At 43.3% G+C, this 12,107-nt stretch overlaps 1 pseudogene; it reads left to right on the forward strand.

The window, feature by feature from the left end:
- On the forward strand, positions 3,322-3,429 carry YWHAEP6 (tyrosine 3-monooxygenase/tryptophan 5-monooxygenase activation protein epsilon pseudogene 6; annotated as a pseudogene).

Genomic DNA, 12,107 nt, shown 5'->3' on the forward strand with positions numbered 1-12,107 from the left:
TCTCAAAAATAAAAAAATAAAAATAAAGAGGAAGAACGCTATGGAATTTGACTAGAATTAGGGCTAACAATATGAAGCACTTTGGGAAGCCAAGGCAGGTGGATCACCATGTCGGCCAGGAGTTTGAGACCAGCCTGGCCAACATGGTGAAACCTCATCTTTACTAAAAATACAAGAATTAGCCAGGTATGGTGGTGAGCACCTGTACTCCCAGTTACTCCAGAGGCTGAGGCACGAGAATCACTGGAACCCGGGAAGCAGAGGTTGCAGTGAGCTGAGGCAGCCTGGTGTCCAAGCTGTGGTGAGCCATGATCATACCACTGCACTCAAGTCTGGGCAACAGAGGAAGTCCCTGTCTCAAAAAAAAAAAAAAAAAAAGGGCCAGGTGCAGTGGCTCACACCTGCAATCCCAGCATTTTAGGAGGCTGAGGCGGGCAGATCATGAGGTCAGGAGTTGAAGACCAGCCTGGCCAACATAGTGAAACCCCATCCCTACTAAAAATACAAAAATCAGCCGAGTGTGGTGGCATGTACCTGTAATCCCAGCTACTCAGGAGGTTGAGGCAGAAGAATTGCTCGAACCTGGGAGGCGGAGGTTGCAGTGAGCCAAGACCACATCATTGCACTCCAGCCTGGGCAACAGAGTGAACCTCCATCTCAAAAAAAAAAAAAAAAAAAATTTAAAAAGGGAGTATAGGGCCAGCCACGGTGGCTCACGCCTGTAATCCCAGCACTTTGGGAGGCTGAGGTGGCTGGATCACGGGGTCAAGAGATCAAGACCATCCTGGCCAACATGGTGAGACCCCATCTCTACTAAAAATACAAAAAATTAGCTGGACACAGTGGCAAATGACTGTAGTCCCAGCTACTCTGGAGGCTGAGACAGGAGGATCGCCTGAACCTGGGAGGCAGAAGTTGCAGTGAGCTGAGACCATACCACTGCACTCCGGCCTGGTGACAAAGCGAGACTTCGTCTCAAAAAAAAAAAAAAAAAAAAAAAAAGAGTTTAAAAAAATCTTTACAGAAGAATGACAATATAGAAAAAATACAGAAAAAATAGAAAAGTCTCCAATTTCTAATCACTATAGTAATATTTGATTTGGGCAAGAAGCAATCCAGATGAAACCATTAAGTAAAGATTATTATGGGACAGAATATTCACACTGTTTCTATCATGCCATAGATCACTTGTTAATTACAAAAGGAAAAAGAGGCTGAGAATGGAGTCTCACGTCTGTAATCCCAACACTTTGGGAGGCCAAGGAGGGCGGATCACCTTAGGTAAGGAGTTTGAGACCAGACTGGCCAACATGGCAAAACCCCATCTCTACTATAATTACAAAACTTAGGCAGGCATGGTAGCAGGCACCTGTAATCCCAGCTACTTGGGGGGCTGAGGCAGGAGAATCGCTTGAACCCAGGAGGTGGAGGTTGCAGTCAGCCAAGATTGCACCACTGCACCCCAGCCTGGGTGACAGAGTGAGACTCCTTCTCAAAAAAAAAAAAAAATGCCCTTATTCTTAGGAGATGTATAGAAGAAATTAGGGGTGAAGTGCTATGAAATCTGCAGTTAACTCTCAAATTGTACAGAAAGAAAATTTATTAATGTTAAAAAAAGTCAATATTCATAGATACACATATATGTGGGGGCAGGTAGAAAGGGAGGGACACAGAGACAAAGAAAATATGGCAAAATGGTAACACCTGGTGATCACTGAACTATTCTTGCAACTCTGAAAAGTTTAAAAAATTTCAAAGGTATATTGTTTTTGAACTGCTCGGGAGGTTTAAATTTTTGAATTTTTAAAATAAGCAATCAATTGTGAGGAAGTCTGAGAAGCCACAGACTTAAGAGATAAGATGAAAAATAAGGAAAGTAGAATCACAGTAATAAGAGGAACAGAGTTTCAAAATGCTGTGGTCAGTCAGTAGCTTCAATGCAAAAGAAAGTTAAATTAAGGACCAACTCAGTAAAGACAACTGGATTCAGCAACTGGGAAGTCAGTGATGACCTAGGGTACAGGAGCTGCACTGAAATAGTAGAGTTGGGCCACGCGTGGCCCACATCTATAATCCAGCAGTTTGGGAGGCCGAGGTAGGTGGACCTCTTGAGGCCAGGAATTCAAGACCAGCCTAGCCAACATGGTGAAACCCCATCTCTACTAAAAATACAAAAATTAACCCGAGACAGTGGCGCACCCCTGTAATCCCAGCTACTCAGGGGCCTGAGGCATGAGAACTGCTTGAACCTGGAAGGCAGAGGCTGCAGTGAGCTGAGATAGGGCCACTGCACTTCAGCCTGAGTGACAGGGGAAGACTCTGTCTAAAAAAACAAAAAATAGGCCTGGCGTGGTGGCTCATGCCTGTAATCCCAGCACTTTGGGAGGCCGAGGCAGGCGGATCACGAGGTCAGGAGATCGAGACCATCCTGGCTAACACGGTGAAACCCTGTCTCTACTAAAAATACAAAAAATTAGCTGGGCGTGGTGGCAGGCGCCTGTGGTCCCAGCTCCTCCGGAGGCTGAGGCAGGAGAATGACATGAACCCGGGAGGTGGAGGTTGCAGTGAGCTGAGATTACGCCACTGCACTCCAGCCTGCGTGACAAAGCCAGACTCCCTCTCAAAAAAAAAAAAAAAAAAAAAAAAGACGTAAACTGGGTATGTGCCTTTAGAGGTGGTGCACATTTTTAGCATTATAAATGAATATAAATGAGTGGCAACTGTTACTTTGGTCCACAGATTTTTGGTATCTTAACTAGTTTTTGGTCTCTTCCACTAAAGGCATTGCCTGTTGAACCTTGTTAGGAATGTAAGTACTGAAGGCAAACTGCCTGGGTTTGAATTTTGTTCTGTCCCTTGCACCCTGCCTGGTTTCAAATCCTAGCTCTGCTTATTACGTTCTTTTAAGGGGATGACCTTTGAGCAAATGTCTTAGCTTCTGTTTTCCCCAGTAAATGGACACAATAGTTGCTACTTTGTGAAAGATTCATGTAATTGACCAGCATTTACCAAGTAGCATCAGTGTTTAGTTTCAGTCATTGGTGATTCTGCAGTTGGACTGTGAGGGGGTATTGGGGTGGGGGGTGGTGTGTGTGTAGCACTTAATTGCAGGCAGGAAGGAAAAGATACTTTTGATAACCGACAGGCAGCTTTTCTCTGCTTTTGTGTCAAAAGGGAGGAAGGGAGTTTGGAGAGGGAAATGAATTCTCTGTAACACTAAGCTCTCTTCCTCAAAACCAGAGGTAGATAGAATGTGTAATAATTTACAGAATTTCTAGACTTCAACGATCTGATTTTTTTAATTTATTTTTATTTTTTCAGGTTGAGACTGAGCTAAAGTTAATCTGTGGCGACGTTCTGGATGTACTGGACAAACACCTCATTCCAGCAGCTACAACTGGCAAGTCCAAGGTTTTCTATCATGAAATGTAGGTTCTATACTAACAATTAACAAGTGTACTTCAATAAATTTAAACATTCTCAGGAATAGTTGACTTTGTTTCTTTTTTTCTTAGACATTTCATATTATTTTCCTTATTAAATATAACCAAAAATCCCACAGAAATTAACTGAGGAGCCTCTAAATATCAACAAAATTATCACTTGATAGACTAGAATTAAACAAGCAAGTGGTTCCAAGAAATGGCACGAGTGTATTAATCATAAAATAAAATTTCTACATGAAACATTCAGCCATTCTAGACCATTTCTGTCTGTGCAGACTCATCTTTTCCTGTTCTTTGCAAAGCCCAGCTAGAGCAAGCAAGTTCTTCCCAATAGGTTTTTCCCATCTCTGGTTGCTTGGCTGGCTGGGCTTCCTCTACAAACCCCCTTCCTTTCCCCTAAGCAGGGCCCGGTGTCCCCATCCCGCGGAGTTGACCTCATGAGGGCATCTGACCAGGAGTAGCTATTCCTGGTGCTATTGTCATTGTCCTGTTTCATGTGTGAACATGGCTGGCTCTACAGAGATTTGGCGGGTAGCAAGGAGGTTTCTTTTTGAATCTTCTTTTGGAAGTCAGACTTGATGAGGATCTTATGCCCACTTTTTCCTAGCTCTGTGGTGTCAGGCAAAGTCTGTTTCTGCAAATGGGGGTTAAGAATTCCTACCTCACAGCAGTCTTTTGATAAATAAATAAGATCTTAAGTGTAAATTATTCCACTAGAAATTGCACAGTCACTTTGGTCTTCATCCTGGAGGTCCACTGACAAGCCTCATGCAAACCTGTGGCCCTGTTCATAAAGTGTTTTGATCCATACTTTCAAATGGCCTCAGGAAGACCTTTTATAAAGTAAAAATGTTAGGCAGCCACATGATATCCATTGACCCAGTGAGGCTGTTTTACTGGATATAAGAGGTTTGACCCGGCATTTTGGGGGGCCGAGACAGGCAGATCACTTGAGGCCAGGAGCTGGAGACCTGCCTGGCCAACATGGAGAAACCCCATCTCTATTAAAAATACCAAAAAAATTAGCTGGGCATGGTGGCACATGCCTGTAATCCCAGCTACTTGGGAGACTGAGGCACAAGAATCGCTTGAACCCGGGAGTCAGAGGTTGCAGTGAGCCAAGCCGAGATGGCGCCACTGCACTCCAGCCTGGGCAGCAGAGTGAGACTCTGTCTCAGGGGAAAAAAAAGGGTGAGGGGAGGGTTTGAAAAAATAGTAGCATGTAGTTATGTTTCTACAATATTTGATATATATAAGGATTTACCAACCTCTTGCATTAGCTGCTATCCCCTACAGCAGTTGCTGTAGGAAAAAAACATCAAGTTCTGAGCTCCTACTGTTTGCCAGGCATATTCTGAGATGATCACGTTGAAATCTCAGAGTTACCCTGCAGAGTAGTCAGGGTATCACTGCCTGACAGATGAAGAAGCTGAGGCTTCCAGCAGTTAAATGACTTACCCCAGGCCACATAGAAAATGAGTGGGAGAGCCCAGGTCTGTCTGTGAGGTATAATGAAATTAGCATAAACCCTCCACATTGGCGCCACTCGCATAAATTAACATATATTCTCTCACAGAAAGTATTTTATTGGGCATAACAGTTTGTATCATTTACCGTTTAACATTAGCCGTGGATCTTCCCACATCACATGACTATGCCTCATTCTTTTTGGATAATATGATTACTATTGAATGGATTTACTATCATTCACTTAATCAATACTCCTTTTGATGGCCATTTTAATTGTCTATTTTTTCCTTTTGCACAGATTGGTGTAATAAACGTGATTTTATAGTAATATTTTTGTCTGCCTGTGAAAATGTTTGCTGGACAATAAATTCCTAGGAGTCAAATAAGGTCAAAGATTATAAATACAGTATTTATTTTCATAAATATTACCAAGTCAGCCACAAATGTTTAAATTACTAATGGTTTCAGATTATTGTATTTAATGAGTAAACACTTTTATAGGGTTTACTTTTATGAACACTTTTATTTGCCAGATATCATTCTAAGTCCTTTACAAAATTAACTTTTTTAATTTGTAATATAACCCTGAGATGTATATTAGGATTATCCCCATTCTACAGATAAGAACACTGAGAAGTTAATTAACTTGCCACATATCTAGGAAGTGACAAGGCTAGTTGCACAGCCAGGCAGTCTGGCTCCTGAGTCCACATTTTAGACAACACTATACCTCCTGGTTCTTTTGAGGCATTACTGCTGGAACTATCCTAATACTCATAAATAAACATTTCTTTTGGGGAGGGCCAAATAAAATTTTAAACAGAAAAGTTTTCACCAACTGTCAAGCTCATAAAGTTGTACGTTATACACTTTTTTCATGATGCCCACAGATAATTTATTAATGATATCATCTATTTTAAAAGACGTATGTAAAACCCAACCCTTAAGAAAGGATTCCTATCACTGTTCCCACAGGCACCCTCCTCAGTCTTATACCTTTCCATTCCACCCCCCAAAACAAATCATTCAGCATATTTATTTCATACTGTAATAGAGGAAGTAGCTTCTTTTTAGATATTCTTAGATTATTAACATTGATCATACAAACATGGAATAGAAATTCCTTATGTTTTATCTGGATTTAAGGTGCTACATAATGGAATCTATTTCTATCAAGCCATACACATTGGAGATAATGAAATCACTTGTGTTCTAGCCTAAACGTTATGGGAATTTCAGAACTGCAACATAACAGATAATCCTTGGACGAAAACTAAATCTCTCCTCTGGTCAGGCATCTATGTGCATCAGTGAAGAGAAGACGGGGACTGTGGAAGGGAAAACAGTGAGTCAGGAAGGACTGTGGCCACATCTGTTCCCCGGACCCTCAAGTAGTTAAATCCTGACCTCCTCTACCCCAGACTGTCCTGGGGAACGGCCAACACTGGCTTTTCACAACTGTGTGTTACCAGAAATGCAACAGAAACCCAGCTGAATCCCCAGGGTTTCCCTTCTGCCCTTCTCAATGGAAAGATCTGTCCCAGGACCATTTATTCCAACATTTTCAATTATGAGAAATCTGGGAAGATAAAGTTATTTTCACATTTCTCAAGAAATACATACTTATTCATACTCATGACAGGAAAGTCAGAATCTACAGAAAACCAAGAAGATTTTTAAAAATCCATGATACCACCATCAAAAGAGCCACACTTAGTATGTTGGTCCACAGGTTTCCTAGCACCCTTTTCTGTTGGTGTATGCACAAAATACACAATCACATTCTGTCTACATTTTACAATTTGCCATTTTTTGATTAACACTATATATTGACCAATTTTTAAGACCTGCAACATATGTCGACAACATTATTTCAGAATAATATATTTATAAATAAACGCACACACAAACTGTCTGTCTTATATACAACACGTCTTACTTTCTAATTCTCCACTCTGGAAGATTTAGGTTTTCCTAACTTTTTAATATACTCACCAGGAATCAGTAAACTTTTTTTATAAAAGGCCAAAGGGTAGATATTTTAAACTCTGCAGGCCATAGGTTTCTGTTGCAACACTCAACTCTGCTGTTGCAGGGAAAGAAGCCATACACAATTTGTAAATGAATGGGCATGACTGTGTTCTGATAAACTTTACAAAAACAGGTGGTGGACTAGATGCAGCCTGCTCCTCTGGACATGGCTTACCAGCCCCTGACATATACCACTACAGAGGATGCTGTTAGAATGAAATCTCTTTACACATCTCTGATCATCTCCTTAGGGCTAATTGCTAGACATGACATCATGGTAGCTGTGGGTCAAAGGGCATGCACGCTCTGGGATGTACATTGCCAGATTGCTCATGATCAGCCTTTCTCATGTCAAAATGTTTTGTGACCACCAGAAGGCTGGTTCTGCTTTTATTATCCATTGACTGAGGAGTAGAAATGACATGGCATGTATGCAGGATATTTAACCATCGTATAGATAATCCTTGTGCACAAGTGCATTCTATATTCTTTCCCAATAGGTCTACATCTGCCAGAGTTGAAATAAAATAAAACAAAACAAACCTATTTAGCACCTTCTGTGTAGCAGGTCCATTCATGTATGTTGTTGTATTTCATTCTCAGAATTCTTATGACCTAGGCATTTTAAACATTTTTTTAAAAATATTGAGTTGACAAGGATTGTGTATATTTAATGCATACAATGTGATGATTTCATATATGTATATATTGTGTACTAATTATCACAATCAAATTTATTACATCCATTACCACCTATGCTGTACATTAAATCTCCAGAATTTGTTCATCTTATAACTGAAAGTTTACACCCTTTGATTAATAGCTTCCCATTTTCCCCACCTCCAGCCCTTGGCAACCACCATTCTACTATCTGTTTTTATGAGTTTGACTCTCTTAGATCCCACATATAAGTGAGATCATACAAAACTTGTCTTTCGGTGTCTGGCTTATTTCACTTAGCGTAATGTCCTCCAGGTTTATCCAGGACAGGAGTTTCTTCTTTTGAATGGCTAATAGTCCATTGTTTATATGTGTTTTATTTATCCATTCATCTGTTGCTGGACACTTAGGCTGTTTCCATATCTTGGGTATTGTGAATAGTGTTGTAATAAACATGGGGCGCAGATCTCTCTTCAAGGTTCTAAACTGATTGCTGAATCGTATGGTAGTTCTGCTTCTAATTTTTTGAGGAACCTCCATACTGTTTTCTGTAAAGGTTATACCACTTTACATTCCAACCAACAGTGTACAAGGGTTCTCTTTCCTCTATGCTTTCGCCAACACTTGTTATCTCTTGTCGTTTTTTTATAAGAGCCATCCTATCCTATGAGGCAATATCTCACTGTGGTTTTGATTTGCATTTCTCTGATGATTAGTGGTGTTGAGCACCTTTTCATATGCTGGCTGGCCATTTGTATATCTTCCTTGGGGAAAAAAGTCCATTGGGGTCCTTTGCCTATTTTTAATTGCGTTATTCATGTATTTATTAATTTTTGCTATTGAATTGTGTGAATTCCTTATATTTTTTCAAATAACCCCTTATCAAATATATGGGTCGCAAATATTTTCTTCCATCCCGTAGGTTGCCTTTTCATTTTGTCATGGTTTCCTTTGCTGTGTAAAACCTTTTAAGATTGATGTAGTCCCATTTATTTATTTTCACTTTTGTTGCCTGTGCTTTGGTGTTACATCAAAAAAAATATTGCCAATTATGACCAATGTCGAGGAGATTTTTCCCTATGTTTACTTCCAGGATTTACATGGTTTCAGATATTACATTTAAATCTTTAATCCACTTTGAGCTAATTTTCGGTATATGATGTAAAACAAGTGTGCAATTTCATTCTTTTTCATGCACTTTCCCCAACACCATTCATTGAAGAGAGTTTCCTTTCTACATTGTGCCTTTTTTTTTTTTTACAGTACAGTGAAAGCAAGTCTATTAAGAAAGTAAAGGAATAAAAGAATCTACATTGTATATCCTTGATGGCCTTGTCAAAGATCTGTTGACCATATATGCACGGGGTTATTTCTGGGTGAGCTTGGCATTTTTTTTTTTTTTTTTTTTTTTTGAGACAGAGTCTCGCTCTGTCGCCCAGGCCGGACTGCGGACTGCAGTGGCGCAATCTCGGCTCACTGCAAGCTCCGCTTCCCGGGTTCACGCCATTCTCCTGCCTCAGCCTCCCGAGTAGCTGGGACCACAGGCGCCCGCCACCGCGCCCGGCTAATTTTTTGTATTTTTAGTAGAGACGGGGTTTCACCTTGTTAGCCAGGATGGTCTCGATCTCCTGACCTCATGATCCACCCGCCTCGGCCTCCCAAAGTGCTGGGATTACAGGTGTGAGCCACCGCGCCCGGCCGAGCTTGGCATTTTTATCTACCTCATTCTACCGATGAGGAGGCCGAGTCTCAGAGAGTTCACAGACCTGCCTAAGGTCACTCAGCTAGAGGTGATACAACCAGGGTTTGAACTGAGATCTGCCAAGCTTCTGAGTTTATTCTTTTTCCCCCACACCAAGGATCCTCAATTCTGCCTTACTGACATCAGGATCCGGTCAATTCTTTGTGATGGGGGCTGTCCTGCACCTGGCAGGATGTTTAGCAGCTTCTCTGGCCTCCACCCACTGGATGCCAGGGGAATGCAGAAGAGGCTTGTTCATTCTCCCATTTAATCCTCAGGACAATATCTGACATAAATGTTACGTCTTTTATTTTATAAATGAAGAAAATGAGACTCAGAAAGGTTTAAGTGAGTTACTTAAGAACACACAGACAGCAAAGGTAGAACTGGAAACCGAACACAGGTGTCCACATGGGACAACAAAAAAGTTCACGTTCCATCTTCTTTTGAGTCTCTCATTTCAATAATTACCATTGTGTGGATATGAGCTGAAGTACAGGAAACCTGGGGCTGAACTCTCCTCCCATCAGGCCTAGGAGCCCCAGACCAGAACCCCAGCCCAAGGTCTCCCAGTCAGGCCCGCTGGCGTGAGCTGGCATCTACACTAGCATGGTCTCCCAAAGCTGCAGGGATGCCAGTCTCGCCGCTGATGAAGAAAATGAAGGGCATTTGCTTCTCATGCAGGCTGTCGGGATTTAACACAGATTCCTTTTCTTGCTCTCTTCTCCCATAGCACAAAACTGGGTGGTCCATCCCCCTCCCAGTGTCCCAAGGCTTTGTTGCGTGTTCTCTTTAATTTCTCCCACTCTTGTGGTGCACCCTACCCTCATCTCCCTGGCAACCTTTCTGCTGTATCCTCTCGACACCTGGATCACAAGAACACTTGTGAGACCCCTTAACAAGTTACATCCCAAATTATCATTCCCCTTTGTCCTCAGCCAGTGCTCAGGTCCAACTTGCTCTCCTGGGGTGACTTTCTTTCCTGCCCAATATGGTTTCATCATCTGTAAATTGGGGATAATTAAAGTCTTGATCCTGATATTTGACTCTCAAAGCAGAAGTAGCAAGCTCAGCCAAGTCACTTCAACAAGAGGAGACGTTCCTTGTGAACCAAAAGGGCACTGGTCACAAGGGCCGCTCCTTCTTCTGTCAGGCCTCTCCAGCACGCCCTTGGCTCAGCCAAAGAAGAGACTCAGGCTGTGCTTCTGCACTGTTGGGATAACATAGGCCTCTTCCATGTGGTTCCACACCAGGAACATGGGGACAATCAGACCTCTCCCAGTGTGGGCATAAGGATACAAGATCATGTCAATATTGACATTCATAATGGCTGGGCGCAGTGGCACACGCCTGTAATGCCAGCACTTTGGGAGGCTGAGGTGGGCAGATTGCTTGAACCCCAGAGTTCGAAACCAGCCTGGGCGACTTGGCAAAACCAGTCTCTACTGAAAATACAAAAAATTGGCTGGGCTTGGTGGCGCACACCTGTAGTCTCAGCTACTTGGGAGGCTGAGGTGGGAGGATTGCTCAAACCCAGGGAGGTTGAGGCTTCAGTGAGCTATGATGACACTGCTGTACTCCAACCTGGGCAACAGAGTGAGGCCCTGTCTCAAAACAAAAACAAAGACAAAACAACATTCATAACAGTAGCAATAGCTACTATGTGCCAAGCCCAGGCACCTCTTCGAGTCTTTGCTGTCACCCTATCAGGTAAGCGTGCTTAGAAGTTACACGAAGCACACGGCTCAGTGTTTGGCCCATGGTAAGGGCCTAAAAAGGGATAGCCCCAGTGGTGGGGATGCTGCTGCTGCTGACCATTAACCCCAGTCTGCTCCACCTTCTTCCAGGCAGTCTGTGAGATGTTTCATGTCCGAGGCAAACAGCACATTCAGATCCCCAAGCTCTACACCTCCAGTGTGACCAGGCACCTGCACCACTTCAGGCTCATGCAGGACTCACAGCCTTTGGACCTCAGCTAAAGGACTTGCTTCTCTTCAGCACACGGGGCTTGTTTGTGTTGGGGTCTGAGCCCTGAGCCCATGGTCAAGGAGACCCCCAGGTCTTTCTGAACAGAGACAGCTGGCCTGGGGGCCTCCCTCTCACTGCGTGCAAGAGGCTGTTAGGGTGCAAGTCTCAAGGCGCTGAGGGAGGCTGTTTCAGGAGGGAGCCCCAGGAGGGTGGTGGAGACAGAAGGGGGCAGCATCTGCCGAGGCCCTACTGTGTGCCTGGCACCGTGTGGGGTTTCTGGCCCATATGGGCTAAGTGACCCTGCACACTCCTCTTAGGAGAGAGGCTCAGATGGAGAAATTGCAGTTCAGGAAGGTGAAGCAAGCTGCTAGCCTGTGGCCATGTTGGGATCTGGGCCTCAGCCTTCCAGCCACGAAGGCAGCCAAGTGTCATGAAGAAGGCATCACAGAGGCAATTCCAGGCTGTAGTGGTGAACTTTCCACTCTGCATCCCCGGGTGCTGTGCCCTGTGCCCTGTCTAAGGTAGCCCTGTGGGTTTCTATATGTTTAAATTGTCCCCAGCATCAATGATGCTCTCCTGTGGATCCCAAGCCATGGAGATGTCCTGGGACTTTTCATTTTTAGGTACCTAAATTGAATTTCCCAACACACAGAAGCAAGACAGCCGCCCTAACAGACTCTTGCATGCAGTGAGAGGGAGGCCGCCAGGCCAGCTGTCTCTGTTCAGAAAGACCTGGGGGTCTCCTTGACCATGCGCTCAGGGCTCAGACCCCAACACAAACAAGCCCCGTG

The sequence above is a fragment of the Homo sapiens genome, chromosome 17 (assembly GCF_000001405.40).
Source record: "Homo sapiens chromosome 17, GRCh38.p14 Primary Assembly".
NCBI classification, from domain to species: Eukaryota; Metazoa; Chordata; class Mammalia; order Primates; family Hominidae; genus Homo; species Homo sapiens.